Raw genomic sequence first — 24,285 nt, forward strand, 5'->3', positions numbered from 1 at the left:
AGGTTTGAGAATGCCTTTATTGGCATACATTAGTTAATTGTTCTTTTAATTATATTTCAGTCAGACATCACTAGTTATTCTATCTCTGGAAGGTTGGAAATAGAAAAGAATAGATTCGTTTTGTGAGTGGCAGGCACTGAGAGTTTCTTGCTTTGAAAGAATCTATTCTCTCTGAATTTTTATGATTTGTTCTGTCGGAGAGCACTGAATTTGTCTTATGAAAACATGTTCTTAAGATTTCAACTCAGTGTTTCTAGAGAGAAGCAATATCGTCTCAACAGGTATTTGAAAATGTTTAGGGGCAGATATTTTTGGTTGTCAAAATGACTAGGGGGTGCTACTGCATTTAATGCCTGGGCAGGTTAGGAATGCTAAATGAGCTGTAAGGCATGGGGACAGTGAACACAGCAGTGCTAAATGCTTAAGTGCTACCAATGAGAAACACTGCATGGAACATTTTCAGATTTTGGAGGCAACAGGTATCTTTACTCAATAGTATTCTACCTCATGGTTTCCAAAATAATCTAAATAGCCAAATCTTATTTTTAAATAAAAAAGTAATAGCTTTTTTTTTTTTTTTTTTTTTTTTTTTTTGGTGAGGGGTAGAAACCCCAAGAAAGAAACAGGAACACACACCAAAAAAACAAAAAAAAATCACCCATAATCCACCAATTACCCTAAGATAATAGCAATGAGTATTTTTGAGCATATCCCCCATCCATGTTTACATACACATATTTATACAAATTGAGTACTTTCATGTTATAATTCGAATGCATCAGCTACCAGTACACCAGCATTTGTTTGATGTGAGGGTCTCACCTGGGTGTGGAGGAGCTGGACACGCTCACTGGCATCCAGGAGCTCCTGTTCGGCGATTTTCCTGCTTCTCTCTGTCTGTTCCAGAGTGGCCCACAGCTCCTCGATCTCAGCCTGCAGCAGGTTGGCTCTGCGCTCCACAATTGCCAGCTGTTCCTTGAGGTCCTCCTGGCCCCGGAGAGCATCATCCAGGTGGAGCTGGGTTTCCTAATAAGTGAAAAACAGAAAGGCCTTAAGTGTTCTGAAGAGGATTTGAAGATCCCAGGAGATGAACTGGGAGATTGTACTGGTGACAGGAACAGAAGATGACATATGCCTGTCATTTGAATGCATCTGATTATGGTTAGGTCATTTGCTTAGGGTGAGAGAGAATTATCAGGAGACATAGATTCTTGTTCTATTTCTACCATTAACTGGTTACTGTGTCATGTGTGAGTCACTAATGTCTGTCATTTGTGGAGCAGTTTCCATATGCTCTATCAGGACTTGACATCTGTTATTTCATTTGATCTTCACAGTAACTCAGTGAGGTGGGTAGTTTCATTCTTATTTTGAAGAAGGAACAGAGGTTCTGAGAGGTTAAGTAATTTGCTTAAAATCAGGCAGCTAGTAAATGACAAAACTAAGACTCAACCTCAGGCCTGTCTGGTGCCCAAGTCTGTTCACTTTCTTTCATATCATACTGTAATGCCTAGGCATCTGTTTGTTCTTCTACATAACATTTTCTTAAAAATAATATGTTCTATGTGTATTTAATTCAGTTACCTTTGTGCGGTCAGCTGTATAATTTGTTAAGAGAAAAAAAGGATCGTTTAACAAGGTGTTTGGGAAATGGAAGACAGGTACTTTCCCTGCTTCATCTGGGAGGCGAATGTGGACCCGTTTACCTTCAGGATTCCTTGGGTGTTCCTGTAGTTCCTTAAACTCTCTGCAGCTAAGCGATTGGCATGGTTCAGCTGGATTTCCATTTCATTCAGATCTCCTTCCATTTTCTTCTTGACTCTCAGAGCATCATTTCTGCTTCTAATCTCTGCATCCAGCGTGCTCTGCATTGTCTCCACGACTCTAGTGTGGTTTCTCTTCAGCTGGTCAATTTCCTCATCCTTTTCTGCGATTTTTCTATCAACTTCAGACTTGACTTGGTTTAACTCAAGCTGGATACGCAGAATCTTTCCTTCTTCATGTTCAAGAGATGCCTTAACAAAACAGTGATCAATTAATAATGGAGAAGAACCTGAGTATTTGGAGTATATTCCCTCGTGAGCCAAACTCTTGTCAATATCAGTTTGTCTAATTTTACAAAGTATAATACAGTAGTTCTGGGAATCTTCTAGGTAAATCATTATTTTGTTTATTTAGTGACAGATTATATAGGGCAGCTCTGCAATAAAGGTGCATTGTGCTATACAAATATTGTTCATATTAATACTAATAAAATTATATAATTAAATTCATGTATAGTAAATATAAATTCTCAATCTGTTTTAGAAATTAAAATGTTCTTGTGTGATATACTAGCCCCTGACCTAGAAACTATCAGTTTTAAAATGTTAATTTTTTTTCCGATTACATAATAAATGTTCATTGTATAATGTGGAGGCAATACATAAAACCAAAAGAAAACCTAGCTGTTGTTCCCCCAGTAAAGAGAAAAACATTTTAATATGGTGTATTTTTTCTAGTCTTTTTTCCTACTTCTATATATTTTTACATAATCAAAATTATATTGTATATGCAAATTTGTGTCTTTAAAATTACTGTCTACCGTAAAATATTTTTCCAAAATAATCATATTTCATGGCTATATAAAATTTCATCACATGACTGTTCTGTGATTTGCTTACTTTTGTTCTTAGATTGCACATCTTTGCCTTAAAGCTTTACTCCATTTGACATCTTTTGGGTGATAAAATCTTAGAAATAGAATTGATAGGTCAGAGTATTTACATTTTTAAGGATTTTGATAACTATTGCCAAGTTGTCCTTCATAAAGATCCTGTGAGTTTAAATTATCACTAGCCCCACTTTTTTTTAACTGATGTTTGTCTTTGTTTTTCCATAACATAATACAAGGTAATATGTACCTCTGCTTCCTCTAAAGCAGCCTGAATTTCACATTTCTCTTGTTCTACTTGCTTCTTTATTTTCTCCAATTCATGAATTTGCTTTCCTCCCTCTGCAATCTGCTCAGTGAGGTCAGAAATCTCCTCTGTGGTTGAACAGACAGGAGAGAAATGGTCAGAAAGATGGCAACATGGAAAGGTCCTCCCAGGGATATATGGAGTAGGGAGGACTGTGAGGACTCACGTTGCAAGTTCTTATTTTCTCTTCTTAGCGTTTCGAGTTGATCCAGGGATTCCTCATAGACATTCTTCACCTTGAACAGCTCAGTGCTAAGAGAACGTGACTCCTTCTGGGAGGCCTCAAGTTCAGCCTGAGTTTCCTCATACTTCTGCTTCCATTCTGATAGGACCTGAAAAGCAATAAATCATGAGTTGATCCAAGGAGAAAGGAAGACCGAGTAAAACACTCTTAAAGTTTAAGCAGTCTGGGCCACCTTGTCAAAGTTCCTTTGCTTCTTATCAAGGGCTGCACAGGCTGCATTAGACCTTTCCACATCAAGCATGAGGTCTTCAACTTCATTCTGGAGCCGCTGCTTCGTCTTCTCAAGGGAAGCACATTTGGCGTTCACAGCTTCTACATGTTCCTCAGCTTCTTGCAGGCGCTGGGCCAACTTTTTCCTGAAAAGTTAGCCAGGCAGTCAGGAGAATGGCCAAGACCAGAAGCAAAGTGATAACCTCCTTGGTCCCTTTTCACAGTCCTATTTCTTTTCTTTTCTTTTGTTTCTTTTTTTGAGAGACGGAGTCTCGCTCTGTCGCCCATGCTGGAGTGCAGTGGTGCAATCTCGGTCACTGCGACCTCCCGGGTTCAAGCGATTCTCCTGCCTCAGTTTCCCAAGTAGCTGGGATTACAGATGTGCACCACCATGCCCAGCTAATTTTTGTATATATGTATATTTTTTTTTAAATAGAGACAGGGTTTCACCATATGTTGGCCAAGCTGGTCTTGAACTCCTGACCTCAGGTGATCCACCCGCCTTGGCCTCCCAAAGTGCTGGGATTACAGGTGTGAGCCACTGTGCCTGGCCACGGTCCTGTTTCTATACTGGCAAATGGCATATGATTTTCAAAACGGTGGCAGCCAGAACTGCTTTCTAGATTGGTAAACTGTATGGAAAGATCCAAAGTGGTGAAGAGTTGGAAACAAGTCCTGGGAATATTATAGAATTCTAAGAGGCTGCTGTTAGTGCTGCCATTGTATGCGCCTTACTACCTAAGTAACTCAGGATTTTCAAGACTTCTGATTGAGTATGACTGTGGAAAATTATTAGCCAGGACAATCTTGTTGTTTGACTTATATATCCATTCTCACTCCAATATGGATTTGAGGTTAACTAGATATTTTACTGGCCAGAAATATACTGAGCATATTCATTTGCTTTCTCAGACTTTTCATTCCATTTTATGTGTTTTTTTCCTAGAGAATAGCCAGTTTCTTCTAATCATTATAGTTGGACAATCTCTCCTGGGAAAGAAACTGATACATAAATCAGGACAATTCGTGCAGTTTAAACAAAGGCAGGTTTTTTTTCCCTCCTGAATTCTCTACATTCTCAGTTCATTTTCAGTTGTGTGCCAAGTACACATCCTTATGGTAGTGAAAAACCTTTGGCTTGATGCCCAGGGAGATCTACTTGAAGGTCTCCGTTTGTCTATATGCAGACTAAGGCTTCACTTTATTTAGGCCAACCCTAAACATTATGTATGGTTTGGTGGCCTCCAACATGAGTTTTAAGAGGTATGTCTTCTACTCAGTGCTTAAGAAGGTGGGCTGTAGAATCAGAATGACAGGCTCCAAACCCAGCTGTATCATTTATTAAGCAGATACTTTTGGGTTAGTTGGTTAACAACTTACAGCCTCAACTTCCTCATCTGTAAAATGGGGATTAGAATAATGATACCAATATAATATTGTTATGAAGGTAAATAAGCTGATATACATGCATACATTATATATATATAATACTTGACACAGTATGCACTCAATAAATGTTAGCTTTTGCTATTGTTATGTTATCATCATCATAAATATCACAGCTGCTTCTGGGAGTTCCTCTTCTAGAGTTCACAGCACATACTTGGCCTCCTCCAGCTCCTCTGTGCGCTGGATGGCATCCGTCTCGTATTTGGTTCTCCACTGGGCAACCTCACTGTTGGCCTTGGACAGCGCCCTCTGCAGCTCAGCTTTGCCTTCCTGCTCTTCCTCATACTGTTCCCGCAGCAGGTCGCAGTCATGGCGGGAGGACTGCAGGGCGTGTGCCAGGGCGTTCTTGGCCTGCAGAAGTAGCAGTTCAGTGACATAAATTCATGTATTCAGTGATATTTAACTTACACATCCCAAGTAGAGCCTAACTGGGCAGGTTTAGATTTGGTTAGTCAAAAAAATCCTTGGCAAAACTCACTTTAGTTTCTTCCTCTAGTTGATGTTTCAGCTCTTCAATCTGCTGAGTAGATGCTTGCTTGCTCCTTGAAAGCTGAGAGACTAAAGCATCTTTCTCATCTAATTGTCGAGAATATTCACCTAGGAATAATAGACATAAGGGAATTTTTTACTGGCATAAAAATAAGCCTAAACCTTTTACATTTATATATGTGTGTGTGTATATATATATGTATATATGTGTGTGTGTATATATATATATATATATATATACAAGTTGTATATACCTTACCTGAAATGCTTGGGACCAGAAGTGTTTCAGATTTCAGATTTTTGTTTGATTTTAGAATATTTGCATTACACTTGCCAGTTCAGCATCCCTAATCCGAAAATCTAAAATCTGAAATGCTGCAGTGAGCATTTCCTTTGGACATCATGTCAGCCCTCAGTTTTGAATTTTGGAGCATTTCAGATTTTTGATTTTCAGATTAGGGATACTCAACCTGTGTGTGTGTGTGTGTGTCTGTTTGTGTGTGATGTGTTTAATCTACACTTCATCTGCTTCTAAGTATTTTTTTAGCACTGGTTAGAACCGGAGATTTAAAAGCAGCATTGCCATAGAAGTGTTGTAAGTAAACTTGTCTGCTCAGTCTTGACTTCTTTCCTTTTTGACCTTCTTAGCAAACTCTGATCATTTGTTTATCTTTCTCTAAAGTGGGAATATTGCTATTTATTAGAACCCCTAGAATCCATTTTATTTAGTCCATGGTGTTGGGACCCAGAGAAGATGTCTTTACCCGCTTCTGTCTGCAGGCGCGCTCTCTGTGCTGTGAGGTCATTGATCAGCCGCTGCTGCTCCTCTTCCTTGGTCTTAAGCTCACTCACTTGATCTTCTAGAGAGCGGCACATCTTTTCAAGGTTTCCCTACAGGATATGTAGCAATGAAAGATGAGACATTGAATGCAATAAAAAGGTTAAAACTTGATTCTTAAAATATTTGTAGAGTAAATAAATTCATGTCAAGTGTGAGTAGAAAGTTAGGACATCAACTCTGTGGAACATGCAAGAATTTAGGCATGGCGAGTGCATAGTGTGCCTAAACTGGTCATTGTTGGAGACCATTTATTCCAATGATATTGACGCTTGCTTAAAGTGGATTTTGAAATCATCTTAATAGGCCGGGCGCGGTGGCTCATGCCTGTAATCCCAGCACTTTGGGAGGCCGAGGCGGGCGGATCATGAGGTTAGGAGATCGAGAGCATCCTGGCTAACACGGTGAAACCCCGTCTCTACTAAAAATACAAAAAATTAGCTAGGCGTGCTGGCGGGCGCCTGTAGTCCCAGCTACTGGGGAGGCTGAGGCAGGAGAGTGGCGTGAACCCGGGAGGCGGAGCTTGCAGTGAGCCGAGATTGCGCCACTGCACTTCAGCCTGGGCGACAGAGTGAGACTCCATCCCCCCGCTCCAAAAAAAAATCATCTTAATCGATCATAACCAGCATTTTAAAAAATACCATAGAATGGGATATATTTGGTTAGAAAATATTTGAGTAGTGCTGTAAAATGCCTGCAAACAATGTTTAGTGATAGAGAATAATGGGTGTTCTTACAGATGATTACCTTCATTTAGAGACAGTATTGGGTACCTTGGCTTTGGAAATGGCCTCTGCGTTACTGCTGAGGTCATCAGTCTCCATCTTCAGCTCACTCTTCTCCTTCTCCAGCTTCTGTTTGACCCGCTGCAAGTTGTCAATCTGCTCCCCAAGCTCAGCCATACTGTCTGCGTGCTTCTTCCGAAGAGCAGCCACCATAGCTTCATGCTGCAGGGTGGCCTCCTCCAGGTCCCTGCGCAGTTTCTGAAACTCAGCCTCCCGCTTCTTGTTCAATTCCACCTGAGCAGAAGTTGCCCCACCGGCTTCTTCCAGCCTCTCGCTGATCTCCTCCAGTTCCCGGGAGAGGTCAGAGCGCTGCTTCTCCGCTTTGGCTCGGGACGCCCTCTCTGCCTCGATTTCTTCCCCCAGCTCCTCAATGCGGGCCTGGGAATGAAAGAAGCACATAAACATAAACTCATCTCAACTTCAGTGTTTTTTTGGTGTGCAGAAAAAATAGAGGTGAGATGACTCACCTGCAACTCTTTGATCTTCTTCTGTAGTTGAATTTCTACAGCTTGCTCATCTTCAATTTTGCTTATCAAATTGCTGATTTCAAATTCTTTCCTTTAGACAGAAGAGCAAGACGTATTAATACTCATGTGAATTGAAAGATGATATCACATAGAAGTTTTTTTCTAAAAGGCTCCTACTTTTCAAGCTTTTCATCAAGTTGCTGTTTGTCATTTTCCATATCCATTGTGGATTCTTGGGCCAATTTGAGGTCACCCTCCAGTTTCCGCTTTGCTCTTTCTAGATCCATTCGAAGCTTCTTTTCTTGTTCCAGAGACCCTTCAAGCTAATAAGAAAGTAAATATGGTAAAAATTGAAAGTATATATTTTTAAAAAAATCTTTCAAAGGGATATTTAAAATGTGCTTACATCATCCACTTGCTGTTCTAGCTTGGTTTTAGCTTTGGTCAGGATGTTGACTTTGTCCTCCTCTGCCTGCAGGTCATCCAGGGTCTGCTGGTGGGTCTCTTGGAGAGCCTTCTTCTCCTTGGACAGTTTTGCAATGGTTTCATCCAGGCCTGCCATCTCTTCTGTAAGATTTTTCACCTACAAAGGTTAAGAAAGAGATTATTTCTCCTATAAAGCAATTTAGTTGGTGGCAGAACCTCTATACAGTATTGTAAAATATGACTGATACCTTGTTCTCCGTGGCATGTTTCTCCTTCTCAACCTTGGCCAGTGTCAGCTCAAGGTCATCAATGTCTTTCTTGAGTTCTGAACATTCATCCTCCAGTTTTCTCTTCTTGGCTGTCAGCTCAGCATTGATCTCTTCCTCCTCCTCAGCTCTTTCAGTCACCTCTTTGATTTTGGCCTCAAGTTGGATTTTGTTTTTAATCAGTTGCTCACACCTTTCCTCTGCATCAGCCAAGCTATCTGCTTCCTATGGAGAGATTCATTCAGATACTTAGAGTCTGTTACTTATTTTGAAACTTGGTGTTTTTTTTGCGCAAAAATAATAGTGTTTTATTGAATTCTGTTGAATTTTTCAGTATGAATATAAATTTAATTTAATCGAACATTATTACATGGTCTGGAGAAATGCAGCTTATTGGAAGTGAGACTATAGCTTTAGAAGCAAACTAGTTTGCAAAGTTATTGGATTGGAGCTATTGATTATTTAAAAAATAATTTGTAGAAGAGTGGAAAGACCTCTAAATCGGGCAAAAGGAAGCCTGGGTTCTTGTCCCAATATTGTTTGCATATGTATGACTTTGGGCAAATTGCTTTATTCCTTTCATTCTCAATTTTGTGTATATATATATATGGGTTGGAATAAATGATTGCCAAGAGCTTTTCAGCTGTAATATTTAAAGATTTTGATTTAGTTAAATTGGTTAGTTTTGGTTTTGATCATTCCCTGTCCCCCTCAAACCAATAATTGCTAGGCTGTATTGAAGAAAGAAAAAGAAGAAAAATAATTTAAATACATTTCCATGTAGTATTTTTTAATACACTAAAACCTTCCTGGTAGTTCATACAGTGCTATAATTGTTCAAAATTTACATTTCCATTTACAGAATTACCCATTAGTCTTAAGGTGAATTTTATTTTTTGGAACTTTTACCCCAACTTTTATTTTGAAAACTGTTAAACTTACCGAATAGCTGTATGAATAATACAATAAATTGCCATATACCATTTACCTAAATCCTCGTATTTTTAACATTTTACTGTTTTTTCTCTCTCTAAACACACACATAGACACATATATAGGCACATGTGCACGCACACACACACACACACTCTCCTAAATCATTTGAAAGTAAATGGCAGATATCATATTTTAGCATTTCTCTCCTAAGGACATGAACATTCTCCTATATAACTACAATACTGTTATTACAAATGAAAATATTAATCACTGATACAATAATATTATCTAATATACAGTCTATATTCAGATTTCCCCAGTGTAACAAAAATGTTCTTTAAGTTTTGTGGTTTCATTGTTTCATTTTTATACACAACATGGGCAATAGGCCTAAACTGCAACATAATTTTCAGAGAGTTGTACCATTGACTAGGCTAGAGGTTCTCATGCCCAGGACAATTCTAGTTAAGGAAAGATTGATGAACTGTTCTTAGCCCTTTCTGCTTTTGTGTTTTTGTTTGCTTTTGTTTTCCCATTCCCTTCTAAATCTGGTTAATGTGGAAAGTCTATGTTGAGCCCCTGAAATTTTGAAAATGTTCAAACCCATATGTCAAGTTAGGAAAAAAAAATAGAATGAACAGTGATATGTTATGAACCTAGATTTACCAGTTGCTAAGTTATGCCACATTTGCCTTGTCCATTCCATTTGTGGCCCTCTCCCCTCTCCCAATAATTATCAAAATGAATTTTAGAATATATGAGAAAATGTAATTCTCAGAAACTGTATAGCTCAATAAAGTTTTTATAAGTGACTAATGAAAGGATTCAAATAAAAATCAATCCAGTCTAATTTATTAGGTTACCTTGGCCTGGGGAATATTTTTTAACTCCCAGTGTTTGTTTTGTTCTTGAGTTTAAAAAACGTTTAAATGGAATATAATGGGAACTTATTGGGGGATTCTTTTCTTTTTTCTTTTTTTGAGCTTTACTGCTTAATATATTTATTTTTAATAGTGATACACTCAATACATATTTACTCACTGACTAATGATAACTGTGAAAAGATGGTAAGATAGAGAGGCTATGGTCCTGTGCTTTTGGAAAAATGTAACCTTCATATAAATGAAGGTATCAGAAGGAAAAATTGAAAGTTGCTGAAAAAAAGTGGGAAAACTATCCTTTTCACAGGTTAGTTTATGATATTGTTAGGTTTGCTGAACCAAGGAAATGGGAGGTTACCTTTGACCAAAGTGTTCATGCCAAACCTACTCCCCACCCCAACTGCCCCTCCTTCCTGCACCAATAAACAGACTCTAGGAACTAGAGATTTGTATCAGAGGAAGAATCAGGAGGACACATTGCTCTGCCTGACATGCTGGTAGTTCAGTTCCATTAAATACAGATAGATTTATTGAGCTAAATCTTGGGGGTTGGGGAAAGGAGATACAGAAATAAATAAGTTTGAATTTAAATACAATCTCATAGACTTGCATTTAGAAAATAGAGCTATACTTTTAATGCTGGGCTAAAGTAGCCCAGGCAAAGGGGTAAAATATTTGACTGAGACTTGGGGGATTGGCTTTAAGCTACTTCCTTCATGGCTGTTAAATTTTGTGATATTATTTAAACAAATTCTTCAATCTTTCCTTTTCCCATTGTAACTTGGAAATAATTGTGCCTTTTCTTCCCCATAGAATACTAAAAGATAAATGAGGTATTAAAAACAGCAACTTGAGATTTTTTTTCAAGTAGAGATCATTTGTAAATCCAAAGTATATGTGTGTTTCAAAAAAGCTTCAGTAACATGGTGCATTCAGAATATGGAGTACTCACAGATTGAACCTGGAGTTGCAGGTCATTTTTCTCTTTTAAGAGAGTGACCATTTTTTCCTCTAGCTCCTTCCGTTTTGCCTCTGACTTGGCGAGTTCATCTTTGGTTTTCTGGAATTCTTCCTTCATGGTGGCCATCTCTTTCTCGGTCTCTGCACTCTTGAGGAGGGGCTTAATCTTGAAAAAGAGTTTCATCCAGGGCCAGTGCTTGACGTTCATGAAGGCACGGACATTATACTGGATGCAGAAAAGTGCTTCTCTGCGATGACATGAAAATATCAGTGTAGACTAATCCATCAGAGCCAATGTTATTGTTACTTATCACACACAAATTTCCCTTTTAATGAATGCCGCTCACAAATAAATATGTCACATTCTCTATATATTATATGCAGGCTTTACACACACACACACACACACACACATGTACACACATTCTCGCGCTCACACTCATGGTCAGTAGCCCTCAGTATAACCACTTTGCTAATATGAGTACGGTTCATATTGAGCACATCTTCTGTGTTCTCAATCCCTATCAAACTAGCCAAGAGAGTGACTTTAGGGGTGAATATTTTGAATGTATGATCAGCACATACCATTTGACATATGACAGTATTAGTGATTTGAGGGTGGGCATGGTGATTGCATGTTGATTGTGCTGCCTGTCTGTGGGCATATGGATGAGAACTGTGAAATGACATAGGTTGCCTTCTGAATGGCCCACCTAAACTGAGCGAATGATTTGTCATCTCTTCCTTGAAGTTGCTCCTCTTATTTTGAACAACACTGAATTATCCACTCTATAAACTTTTTTTGCTAGCTTCTTCAGATAATACACTGGCTTATCTCAAATTCTTTCAAGTGCCTCAGTCTTAACTGATTAATTGGATTGTTAATATTTGCGAGGCATTCAGCATCTGTTGAGCTCTAAAATTTATTTTATTGAAATAAAGTGAAAAATAGTAATAAAAGGTACCCCTACTGCAAACTATAGCCATAGACTGGCTAGGTTTGACTACTTGTAGCAATGTGTATGTTTCTTCAAGCTTGTTAAAATGGAAATTCTATCTCTATAGGTCCAGTTTTTAAGACTTGTAACTCTATGAAAGCAGATACCTTGACACAAACCATAACGTTCACACATGGGAAAGACTCAGGAACACTTCCAGTGCAGGCCTAAATGATTACAGATAAGAAAAATGAATGCACAGTGTGTGTGTAAGTAGAGGGAATGCAATAGTGTTGGGTAGATAAACTGGGTGAGATTAGTTACAGAAAGGGGAAATTAAAGTTTTAAATTGGTAAATAGATAAATTAGGATGAGGGGAGAGATGAGATAAGAAGATAAGCAAATGAGAGATTAGTAGATAAGCAAATTGTTTAGCCTGGCTGGAAAAGGCTATGTGCTTGGAAATGATAGATGAGGTGGGGAATAGAGAGGGCCTTGACAGGCAAGCAAGCAACTAGCTTGATGAAAATACTGCTTACTGCAAACTATTCCTGTGGCTGTATGTGAGATGGCTGGAGGTAGGAGAGAAGTTTTGAAAGGAATCCAAGTGTGAGAGCTGAAGCAAAGGCTGCTGTGTTGTAGGAGTGAGTTCTGAATTGGGTGAGAGGAACTATTAGCCACCAAATGAAAGAATTAATGAATGAACAAGACTGATTGATAGTCCTTAAGGGACCTTATAATTCTGATATTCTGAATGATTGTTACCTCCTTTGCAACATCTTCTGATATTCTACCCTCATTAGGAATCCCCTACAGACAGCTTGTGTTCTTGTTATAATTTGGGCTAATTTTTCATCTCTCATTTCTTCCAGAAGACCCAGAAGTCCAGCTTTGAAGAAAACCTGGAGAAAGAGAGAGTCACAAATCATCTCCATACTGCAGGAGATGCAGAAATGGCAGAAGGTACTTGGATCAGGTGTAAATAAATAACGATATACCTTGGTATGTCCAAATTTATATTGAGTATGATCAATATCAATAGATGCAAGAAGTTTCTCAGAAGCCTTCTTGCTGTCAATGAACTGTCCCTCTGGAATAGCACTTGCATTTAAAACCTTGTATCTGCTCAGTTAAAGAAAGAAAGAATGGTTAGGAAAATGTGACCACATGCCAACAAAATGACACCAAAAAGAAATATCAACAAACATCTGAGAGTAGAAATAAAAGTGGAAAATCCAACTGCCGTTTAAGGACAGATAGTAAAACAATATGATTTTCTGTTGCATGCCTGCTTCCTGTTATCCTTCTAACCTGTTGTATTATCCTACCACCACAAGACTATATTATTCGACTTCTTAATTTTTTAATACATACTAATTCACAGTGTTAATGAAATACATCAAAGAAGACTGACCTTTGTTTGAAATCACCATATAAGATTCTGCTTGGGAATCCTTTCCTACAGATGCGGATGCCTTCCAGCACACCATTACACCTCAGCTGGTGCAACACAAGTTCATGTTCCATTGCCCCTAAAAATATAGAACAGTACTTATTAGTGGGCATTTAACTTTCAAACCTGTGCCCGTTTGATTATTTCACTCTCTGTGTCTTACCAGGAGTTTTGGTTTCATTGGGAATGATACACCGTACGAAGTGAGGGTGTGTGCTCCTCAGATTCGTCATCAATTTATTTAAATTTTCCTAGAAAACCAGACAGAAAGGACTTGATGAAAAAGTTCTATTTCAGGTTGTTTTTTGTAATTATATGGAATGAACCTAGACAGTCCTTTAACTACTAGGCATGCATCTGTGAGGCTTCAATTGCTCTGTATTTTGAGGGTCTCAAGAGTTCTAGCCTGCCAAATAACAAAAAGGCCAAAGTGGTTGGAAGGAATGCACATCTCCAAGGTATTCCTTTGTAACACCAGGGATCTGTCTCATAAACAAATTGCAATTCAGTAACCTTGTGATGTACAAGGAAGGGTTCTCAACCGAGAATCACAAGACAAAACATGATGGCTTTGCTATGCCACTAATGAACTGCCTGACTGTATAAAATCCATTTTTTCTCTGGGCATTATCTGAGAATAGTTGAGATTGTTTGTGAGGTCTCTTTCATCTCTCTCAGTGCTAATAATTTTCACAGTAGCAGTTTACAGTGGTAACCTAAGTTAGCAATTGTCCTAACTTTTGCCTTTCCTTCCTTGAGTGTAATATTTCCTGGGACCTCTTACCCTCTTGTTTTCTTTTGATTTTTGAAGAGTCTAAAATTGTGAAACTGGCCAGGCATGGTGGCTCACGCCTGTAATCCCAGCACCTTAGGAGGCCAAAGCGGGCGGATCATGAGGTCAGGAGTTCGAGACCAGCCTGGGCAACGTAGTGAAACCCCATCTCTACTAAAAATACAAAAATTAGCCAGGTCTGGTGACGGGTGCCTGTAATACCAGCTACTTGGGAGGCTGAGGCAGGAGAATTACCTGATACCAGGAGGCAGAGTTTGCAGTGAGCTGAGATTGTGTCACTGCACTACAGCCTGGGTGACAGAGCAAGACTCTGTCTCGAAAAAAAAATAAATAAATAAAATAAAATAAAATTATGAAACTATATAACCTTGGGTTGGTGGGTGTTGGGTACCTGAGACTAGATATACTCTTAAGAAGGCAGATTTTTTTTTTTTTTTTTGACAGAATCTCGCTCTGTTGCCCAGGCTGGAGTACAGTGGTGCAATCTCGGTCCACTGCAACCTCTACCTCCTGGGTGCAAGCGATTCTTCTGCCTCAGCCTCCCGAGTAGCTGGGACTATAGGCGTGCACCACTATGCCCGGCTAATTTTTATATTCTTAGTAAAGATGGGGTTTCACCATATTGGCCAGGCTGGTGTTGAATTCCTGACCTCGTGATCTGCCCGCCTCAGCCTCCCAAAGTGCTGGGATTACAGGTGTGAGCCACTGCGCCCGGCCAAGAAGGCAGATTTTTTTTCCCACAGCTCAGTTAACCATTAGGAAATGAAGAAAATAAGTAATGTGAGTTCCTAATTTTGAAAACATGTATGAAAACAAGTTGATAAAACAAAAGTCTATTTGGTAAGATAATGCAAATTGGTTGTGAGAAAGAAAAAGAACAAGAGTAGTTTTCTTGTTTAGATCATAGGTCGTATGTCGTGTCTGTATTTTAGTTTTATAAGGAATGAGACTTAGCCATACACATTTTGATTAAAAAGCCATTATTAGTCCATATATAAGAACAAGTTTTTAAGCTACATAGGAAAATCACATTACTTTGTAGTGAAATTATTATTCTTTAATCTCAAGAGATATTTCGTATCTTAATGATCCATTTAAGTCACTGGGCTTGGCTTTAGATGATTTTCAGCTGTAATGAAAAATTAAATTCACCTCAGAGGACAAAGATATGTTTTGGTGAAAGATGTTATGAAGAGTGTATCTGAGGCTCATTCTCAAAGAGGAACTCAGGAACATTTTCAAAGGGCAGCATTCAAAGCGGAATAAGAATATGACCTTCCACAGGGACAGCTTTGAAGTTTAGCTATACTTCTTTAGAAATCAGCCTCATTATATAATGAGAAAGTTTCTAAGGGCATTTTGGCAATCCTGAATACATTAGATAATCGTAATAAGGAATAATGGGTAAAGCATCCGTTCCTACAGGAGTAGTATTTCTTTGGCTATACTCTGACGAGAGCTGATATTTGAAGTGATTCCTATTAACATTTTATTGCCTCATAATTTTTTCTAAATCCTTAATTATGATAATTCATAGAAACTGAGTAGATATTTCAAATTAAATTTGTACTTTACCCTGAAAAGGGCAGACACAGTCTGGAAAGAAGAGCCCTTTTTCTTAGCACCTTTCTTCGCGCTGCTATCTGAGGTAAAAAGAAAACCCGTGAATAAGAATAGAATACCAGAGGCTTATATGAACATGTATTATAACATTATGTGAGAATGGATTTAATTTAGATTAAGGACACAGAAAGTACCTGCTTCAGCACTAGCATACGTGGAAAAGAGACTGGCTAGAGTCTTCATTGCAGACTTCTGGTACAGCCCAACCACAGTATCATTCAGGGGGTCCTTATTTTTGTCCAGCCAGCCAGTAATGTTGTAGTCCACAGTGCCAGCATAGTGAATCAGAGAGAAGTGGGCCTCAGCCTTGCCTTTGACCACCTTGGGCTTCTGGAAGTTGGCAGACTTGCCCAGGTGCTGGTCATACAGCTTGTTCTTGAAGGAGGTGTCCGTTGCCTTAGGGAACATGCACTCCTCTTCCAGGATGGAGAAGATGCCCAGTGGCTGAATTCAGAAAAGTAACATTGGTGTCAACCTAACTTCTCTCAAAAGATAGAGACATGGTGGCTGTCATTTGATTGAATTATGAGCACCCCAATTAAATATATGTATGAAATAAACCAGGGTCACAGCTCGAAGAAGTCCCTTGTTATCACTAGAATGACTTTTCCACTATTCTTCTCACATTCAATCTGTAGCATTACTTTCAATTAAAAGAATAGCTGGATACAAACTTCCTCAACACCGCATGTTAAAATGTTATGTATTATTATACTTTTTTCCTATTCAGTGAATAAATCTATTGTCAGAGTTTTTCTTCGTTATGAAAATAGCTTACTGACTTATGATGTTGACTCTATGCAGTAATTAAACAGTATAAACAACCAAATTTTATTCAAGATATTTTGGGTATTTAATTTCTTTAAAATAGATTATAGGCTGAGCACAGTGGCTCATGCCTGTAATCCCAACACTTTGGGAGGCCAAGACAGGAGGATCACTTGAACTCAGGAGTTCAAGACCAGCTTGGGGACCATGGCAAAACACCGTCTGTACAAAGAATACAAAAATTAGCTAAGCATAGTGGCACATGCCTGTGGTCCCAGCTACTCGGGAGGCTGAGGTGAGAGGATCGCTTGAGCCTTGGGGTTGAGGCTTCAGTGAGCTGTGATTGCACCACTGCACTTCAGCCTGGGCGACAGAGTGAGGCCCTGTCTCAATAAATAAATAAATAAATAAATAAAATAGATTATGAAGTAGCGTATGCAGTTTGACTTCTTGACTTTGAACAGATTGGCTTTCATGAAAGCACTAACTGTGTCATGTGTGCATTAATTTTTATATAGAAAAATATTTTTATTGTGGACATCATGGATCATAATGGAGATAGATCAAGAACTAATGAGGACAGTAGTTGTAGTAAAGCAGAACATCTCAAATAGAGTTTTCAGTGCTGTGTTAAAGTTGGATTTGATCCAGTGTCAGAATAAGAATGGTTAGAACAGAATAAAAGTAAACACTGTCAGATCTTTCTTATGTAGAAGTTAAAAAGAGGAAGTAATTTCTAAATAGTAATTTTCCAGTTTGTTCAGATCACAAACCATTTGAGATTACAGTAATACTTTCTAGAATTGCTTAAGATTTCTGGAAAGTGATCCTCACAGTCTGCCCTTCTTTGGAAACCAAACCGACCTTCTCAATGAGCTCAATGCAGGCAGCCAGGTCCATCCCAAAGTCAATGAACGTCCACTCGATGCCTTCCTTCTTGTACTCCTCCTGCTCTAGCACAAACATGTGGTGGTTGAAAAACTGTTGCAGTTTCTCGTTGGTGAAGTTGATGCACAGCTGCTCCAGGCTGTTAAACTACACAAAATAATAGAGATTTCCAACATCAAATGAGTTTTATAGTAGTAAAATTCATTACTGAAAAAATTCTTTTATTGAAAAAATGTGGAATGTAGTAATGAGATACAGTTAAAACTAACGTTGCTCCCTCAAAAAATGATCATTGGCCGGGCACGGTGGCTCACACCTGTAATCCCAGCACTTTGGGAGGCCGCGGTGGGTGGATCATGAGGTCAAGAGATTGAGACCATCCTGGCCAACATGGTGAAACTCTGTCTCTACTGAAAATACAAAAAATTATCTGGGTGTGGTGGCGTGCACCTGTAGTCCCAGCTACTCGGAAGGCTGAGGCAGGAAAATTGCTTGAACCCTGGAGGTGGAGGTTGCAGTGAGCTGAGATCGCGCCACTGCACACCAGCCTGGGTGGCTGGGCGAGACCCTGTCTCAGAAAAAAAAAAAAAAAATCATTATTCACGTGAGCCTTTCTCATGAATCCCAGGCATTGTTGAGGGTCCCAGATATCAATGTTAGAACAAGAATTCTGGTAGAATTTACCTTTTCTCCTCTAAGATTGCATGGGCAAGAATATACTTTAAAAGTTCAACCATGGTCCTGTGTTATGGTTTCGATTCAAAGGTAAAAGGGAAAGGAGTTGATTGGAAATTCTCACTTCTTTCACCACTCCCACTCTCCAATTCAAAATAAAGTTCACATTTTCACCTTTGGCTGTTACATTATTAAGGAAAGCTGATCTTAAGACCTTTAATATAAAGGTCTTGGTGTATAAAGTGAAATCATTAGGGTAATTTCTCTTCTATTTATATCAGACATTTAGCAAATCCCCCTCGTCAGGTGTGTGAAAGCAGGGACCTGATATAGTATAGCAGTTGAAGATCTAAAAGGTCTTTGTAATAATTTACTCCTTTATTTTATAGATGGTGAACTGATGCCCTGGAGGTAAAATAGTTTATGTAAGACAAATCTGGAAGAGGAGAGACAGACTATCATCTGTCTCTAGGCTTCTACCTTTGGGCCTTTTCTTCTCTATGAAGAAGCCTTGTGTATGGATCAAATGCTGTAGATCTGGGTTGCTGTCCTGGATTTGTCTTATGCACCTGTGGGATCTTTAGCTAGTGTTTTGATTTCCCTGCATCTTAGTTTCTTCTATATAAGTTGGGGGAATATTAGCTACTCCTTGGGTTGTTTTGAAGATTAAATATGGTAACGTTTTGAAGTCCCTAGTGTACACTGCTGGCCCAGTGAGCGTTAGCTATTATTAGTAGTACATTATGTTACCTCCTATTTTGGAGATAACCTTTGTTCTAGGTGCAGTGTTGGAGCAAGTAATATGGACGCTATAAATGTGGATGAATAATGATAATACCTAATATATCAAAGCCCACAATTGCCTCCTTCTTAATTCTTGTTAATATAACTCACATCAAAGATTTCAAAGCCAGCAATGTCCAAGACCCCGATGAAGTACTGCCTGGGCTGCTTGGTGTCCAGCTGCTGGTTGATGCGGGTGACCATCCACAGGAACATCTTCTCGTAGACGGCTTTGGCCAGAGCACCCACCGCATTGTACACCTTCACAGATAGAGTAATGTTTGTTGGTATTGTTAAAGACATGCCATGAAGGCCTGAGATGTGTGTGATTCATTGAGGTCATGCACTTACCTGCTGCACAGTCTGGCCTTTGGTGACATACTCATTGCCAACCTTGACCCTAGGGTAGCAGAGGGCTTTGAGTAGGTCTGCAGAGTTCAGACTCTGGAGATAGGCTGCCTTGTCAGCGACTGCAGAGACACAGTTCAGGACATGTTGTTTCATGAAGGATATCCTCTTTTACCTAATCTTTCCATTTTTCTCCAATTCAATCTATTATTTAAATAAAAAGCTTAAATAATTCTATAAAAGGCCAAATGAGGTTTTCTAACCTTAGAGCATGTGGTTGCCAGTAAATGGTTGATTGGTTATACTGATCTTTAGTGATTTATTTCAAGTAGTTTTTAAGAAATTTTTCATCAACTGTAAACATATGTAGTATTTATTGCCGTCTTGCAGTTTTTTGTAAGTAAAAGCCATAGTCCCTGTTTTTAAGACACATTAGGTGTAGTTGGAAGGATAAGATAAATATTCACTGTTAGAGAGGGTAAAAGTCAGAATATTTTGATTCTTATCTTAGTTTTTCACCTCCCTATTAAACCTTGCTGGATTAATTTCTTTATCTACAAATGTGGAGATTAAAATTTACTGCATGATCCCTACAGAATCCCTTTCTAAAATTCTGTCGGTGACTATAACGTAAATAAATGCCACATGTCAGGTACACCAGTAACTGCTGAAACATTTAGAGGAGGAAGAAAGAATGTCAATTCGAGGTGGTCAGGAAAGGCTTTAAGGAGCGATAACTGTCTTTCTGGGGTAGATCCTGTATATTGCGTGCTCTTTCCATACGTAGAATATATGATCTTTTTTCTCAATTCCTTTTTTTAACTCTTACTTGCTGCCTATATTGTCTATGGATTTATATACAGACAATACACACTTGCTTACAGATGACTCTAGGGGTATCTTTCTCCCCAGCCCTGTATTTGGGCAGATTCTCTGCTGTCAGTTCCTAGGGTCTTCCTATCTAGTGCTGAAATAGAGCAGTCTACAGTTATCTACATATACCCACCTTCGTTGCCAAGGCCAACCAGGAGCACTATTATATCTCATTCTATCTCATAGTTTGTGCTTATAAGTGGCTATTGGGGTTTGTTTGTGACTTATTTGGGCTGGATGGAAATGATGGAGACATGGAGATGTAAGGAAGAGAGGGGGTGAGGAAAGCATGCAGTGTGTGTAAATGTGTATATGCCCTTCACAAGTCGCAAGTCCAGCCACAAAGGAGATGTGAGTGTAAAATAGGATTTTTTTTTTTGCTACATTCTCTCATTAAACCCAGATAAAGTTTCATTTGGTACCTTCTGTGCCATCTGGCTCAGCTTGCTCCTCACGCTGCTTTTGCTTGAATTTCATGTTCCCATAATGCATCACAGCCCCTGTGAGTTTATAGATGGACACTTTCTCTTCAGGAGTGAAGCCCAGGATGTCAATGGCACTCTACCAGGAAAAATGAGAGGACAAAAGTTAGGGCTGAAGAGACTAACTTATAAGAGAATTTATACATATCCTAAGGTAACCACACCTACAGTAGTTTGCTATTGTCATTTCCATACATAATGGATTTTTAAAATTAGTGTTTTTGACTTACATCAGTGGCCATCAACTCTTCTTGGTCATCAATACTGGGAACTGTGATCTCCCCCTGACTGACGAAGGCATAGTCATATGGGTTGGTGGTGATCAGGAGCATTTCTGGGTCACAGAATTCAGGGCATACATTTTACATTAGACATTGTTAATAAAAATATTAACTTCTATCTATGACTTTAAGTTCTTTCTTACCAATTAGATCTGGCTTCTTATTGGAAGTGATCTGATAAAAAATATGGTAGCTTCTTTCCGCCTTTAGCTGGAAAGTAACTCTGGACTTTTCTAAAAGATCTGGAGAGGGAAATAGATATCGAGTTTGAAAAAAGTATCAATGCTTCTGAGATAGTAAATGAACCTCACGTCTTTGGTCAAATTTGGAGCATTACATTTGGCTCCAATGAGATTTCAACTTGATGACCAATTGCAGATAGACAGTGATTCTCACTGTCTAAGGGCAGCAACTGAAGCATACCTGCTCTAGGACAAATATATTTTTCACATGAAGGATCCATGACCTCTGTATTTTAGTTGATCCCTAATATCCCCTCCTTCTTTGGATCACCTAGGATTCACTCTGGGTGGTGAGGGCCTACCTTGGAAACATCTACCAAAACTCAGATCAGGAGCAAACCACAGAGATGTATTGGAAACCCATAAGTAGCCCAGTTTTTGTCCTGGAAAAAAATCATAGTTGCTTCTGAGGCAGGAATTTCTCTAGGATGTGTTACAGAATCATCAAGTCTGAGATTGAGATAAAGGGAGCACTCAGTGGATTATGGGTAAGCCTAGCATTAGCTTACAGGCAGTACTGGCAGCAGACTACCCTTTTAACAGGCTTCATGCACAGCAAGGGTGGCAAAATATCCCTGCAAATGAAATCACTTGTCTCTCTGTTTTGATTTTCAATGGTCCTGTTACTCACATGTTTCTATATCAGCAGATGCCAGCTTCCCTGTAGTACCAAAGTGGATTCTAATGAATTTACCCTTGAAAAGAATATTTAGTATTAGAAAACTGAAACACAAAGAGAGATGCAAATGAAATAATAATTCAGACGTGGCTACTCTGGAAGTTAGGGGTTGAGACCAAGAGACTCACAAAGCGAGAGGAGTTGTCATTCCTCACAGTTTTGGCATTGCCAAAGGCCTCCAGTAGGGGATTGGCGCTGATGATTTGATCTTCCAGAGTCCCCTGCAAAGGAAGGAGCAGTTCTCACATCTGGGACTCCAGATGTCTGAGAGCCTTGACAGAGGTTTTGACTCTGGCTATCAGACCTACCTGCATTTTGCCAGATTCATCCTTCTTCTTCTCTCCAGTAACTGCAATTGTTGCAAAGTATTGGATGACACGCTTGGTGTTCACAGTCTTTCCGGCACCAGATTCTCCGCTGTCAAACAGAAATCAGAGAAGAGATCAGAGAACTATGGCCTGCATTGTCAACATCTAAGACAATCCTTGCAAATCAGAGAAGAAAAAAAATCACATACGTGATCAGGATGGACTGATTCTCTCGATCTGTGAAAGAATTCAAAATCATCCGTTAAAAAATGCATATTTAATATGAAGAGTATTGAATCAGTTCAGATCAAACACAGCTTGTTCTTTTTAACTTTTTGAAGATGTCACCTTTGGTTTTGATTTTGTGTTTATCCTCCAAAATAGCCAATTGCTTCTCAGTGTAAAATTTGTGAAAATGAAAGCAAAGAATCATCTCTTCCTTTTTGTATTTATTAATTTTTAATTGCGATGAGATACACATAACATAAAATTTACCATCTTAACCATTTTTAAGTGTAGAGATCACTGGCAGTAAGTACATTCATAAAGTTGTAAAATCATCATCACCCTTCATCTCCGTAATTCTTTTCACCTTGTCAAACTGAAACTCTGTGTCCCTTAAACTCTTAACTCCCCATCTCCTACTCCTCCCATTCCCTGGCGCCCACCATTCTACTTTCTGCCTCTGTGAATTTGACTACTCTAGGTACCTCATGTAAGAGGAATCATAGAGTATTTGTCTTTTTTGTGACTGGCTTATTTCACTCAGCATGGTGTCCTCAAGGTTCATTCATATTTTAGCATATGTCAGAGTTTCCTTCCTTTTAAAGGCAGGATATCTTATTGCATGTATATACCACATTTTGCTTATCCATTCATCTGTTGATGGACACTTGGGTTGCTTCCATGTTTTTGCTATTGTAAATAATGCTGCTATTAACATAGTTGTACAAATGTCTCTTCCAGACCCTGCTTCCAGTTCTTTTGGGGATATACTCAGAAGTAGAATTGTGGGATCATACTGTAATTCTATTTCTAATTTGTTGAGGAACTACCATACTGTTTCCACAGTGGCTGATCATTTTACATGATCACTAACAGTGTACAAGAGTTCTAATTTCTCCAGTTCTTGTCAAAACTTGTTATTTTCTGATTTTTTGATAGTAAACATCCTAACGAGTGTAAGGTACATATTTGATTAATTTTTAAAACATTTATTATGGAAAATTCAAACATATACAGAAGTAGAGACAATAATATAATGAATCCCCATGTGCCCATCATACAGATGCAATGGTTATTAATATTTGGCCAATTTTATATCATCTATACCTCATCCCAATCTCACTGAATTATTTTAAAGAAAATCCCAGAATCTTATAATTGTATTTATAAATACTTCAATTAGAATTACAGAATTTTGAAGGCATAAAAGATCTTAGAAATTGCTTAGGCCAACTCTTACATTTAAGGGATAAAGAAACTGAGACCTGTAAAGGAGGAAGTGACTTTTCTAATATTAAGTACATAGCTAGTTAAGGTCAAATATATCCTCCTGGCCTCTTCCCAGCTTTTGATGTCACTAGTTTGACTTCTGGCAATACTAAATAAGGAAGGGGTCTGGAATTGTGAATATTTGTGTTCATCTGTTTTATTTTCCTTTTAATCTTATATGCATTTCTAAATAATAAAAACAAATGTCACTAATTATGTGACTGATATGTTGTATTTACATCAATTTGCTGATTTGTTAAATCTCTAATTCTATAGTGTTAGATTATAGATTTTAGAGAATTCTAAAACCTAAAAATCTATTCAGGGAAAATAGATATAAATCTGGATGTTATTTAGATGTAGATATAGACATAGACTTTAGAAAACTTTAGCCTTCTCTTCAGGGAAGTCGATGCAGATTTTGCATCCTATTCAGATAGATTTGTTTTCTAGTATAAGTAAAACCGTGGAAGATTATATCACATCTAGTGGAAGCACAGATGAGAAAACAATGTTCTGGTCTCTTGGCAATGCTAAAATAACACTCACCAGCTCAAAGGCTAGAGCTCTGTACCATTTTGTACAAAAATCATGTTTGGGAGCCATAAGTAACCTTGAATTTGGAGCAGCCCCAAACCCTGGGGAGCGGGGGGCTTGCTGAGTGGGAGGACAGGGGTGGTGTACATAGCTGTGTAAATGCAGCTGTTGAGTATTAAAACCTCTGAAATGAGCCAGCGTTTGGATAA

The 24,285-nt window shown here is 38.6% G+C and overlaps 1 protein-coding gene and 1 long non-coding RNA gene across 2 annotated transcripts in view, besides 1 other annotated feature; one reads left to right on the forward strand and one right to left on the reverse strand.

The window, feature by feature from the left end:
- Positions 1–24,285, forward strand: part of MYHAS (myosin heavy chain gene cluster antisense RNA) — a 242,409-nt gene that overhangs the window by 10,295 nt on the left and 207,829 nt on the right. Inside the window, exon 2 of the long non-coding RNA NR_125367.1 lies at positions 12,722–12,812. This is a non-coding gene — a long non-coding RNA (myosin heavy chain gene cluster antisense RNA). The remainder of the gene's footprint in view (positions 1–12,721; positions 12,813–24,285) is intronic.
- MYH8 (myosin heavy chain 8) overlaps positions 1–24,285 on the reverse strand; it is a 31,629-nt gene that overhangs the window by 3,105 nt on the left and 4,239 nt on the right. Inside the window, exons 6-35 of the mRNA NM_002472.3 lie at positions 22,255–22,282; positions 22,046–22,154; positions 21,866–21,958; positions 21,690–21,753; positions 20,960–21,058; positions 20,766–20,869; positions 20,476–20,614; positions 19,184–19,302; positions 18,944–19,093; positions 17,351–17,521; positions 15,853–16,162; positions 15,671–15,738; positions 13,466–13,553; positions 13,264–13,381; positions 12,848–12,971; positions 12,615–12,751; positions 10,904–11,159; positions 8,117–8,359; positions 7,849–8,025; positions 7,620–7,765; positions 7,443–7,533; positions 6,964–7,353; positions 6,117–6,243; positions 5,342–5,460; positions 5,018–5,214; positions 3,377–3,560; positions 3,127–3,292; positions 2,904–3,028; positions 1,707–2,015; positions 823–1,026 (exon numbers count right to left, since the gene is read on the reverse strand). Coding sequence (NP_002463.2) covers positions 823–1,026; positions 1,707–2,015; positions 2,904–3,028; positions 3,127–3,292; positions 3,377–3,560; positions 5,018–5,214; positions 5,342–5,460; positions 6,117–6,243; positions 6,964–7,353; positions 7,443–7,533; positions 7,620–7,765; positions 7,849–8,025; positions 8,117–8,359; positions 10,904–11,159; positions 12,615–12,751; positions 12,848–12,971; positions 13,264–13,381; positions 13,466–13,553; positions 15,671–15,738; positions 15,853–16,162; positions 17,351–17,521; positions 18,944–19,093; positions 19,184–19,302; positions 20,476–20,614; positions 20,766–20,869; positions 20,960–21,058; positions 21,690–21,753; positions 21,866–21,958; positions 22,046–22,154; positions 22,255–22,282 — 4,655 coding nt within the window. The remainder of the gene's footprint in view (positions 1–822; positions 1,027–1,706; positions 2,016–2,903; positions 3,029–3,126; positions 3,293–3,376; positions 3,561–5,017; positions 5,215–5,341; positions 5,461–6,116; positions 6,244–6,963; positions 7,354–7,442; positions 7,534–7,619; positions 7,766–7,848; positions 8,026–8,116; positions 8,360–10,903; positions 11,160–12,614; positions 12,752–12,847; positions 12,972–13,263; positions 13,382–13,465; positions 13,554–15,670; positions 15,739–15,852; positions 16,163–17,350; positions 17,522–18,943; positions 19,094–19,183; positions 19,303–20,475; positions 20,615–20,765; positions 20,870–20,959; positions 21,059–21,689; positions 21,754–21,865; positions 21,959–22,045; positions 22,155–22,254; positions 22,283–24,285) is intronic.
- Positions 7,083–8,282: an enhancer, noted in NCBI's record as "BRD4-independent group 4 enhancer chr17:10303826-10305025 (GRCh37/hg19 assembly coordinates)". NCBI's record gives its function as "activates an origin of replication core promoter dependent on BRD2, P300/CBP, MED14 and CDK7 cofactors, and independent of BRD4, by STARR-seq in HCT116 cells {active_cell/tissue: HCT116}" and the evidence as "EXISTENCE:reporter gene assay evidence [ECO:0000049][PMID:35650434]".

The sequence above is a fragment of the Homo sapiens genome, chromosome 17 (assembly GCF_000001405.40).
Source record: "Homo sapiens chromosome 17, GRCh38.p14 Primary Assembly".
In the NCBI taxonomy this organism is placed as follows: domain Eukaryota; kingdom Metazoa; phylum Chordata; class Mammalia; order Primates; family Hominidae; genus Homo; species Homo sapiens.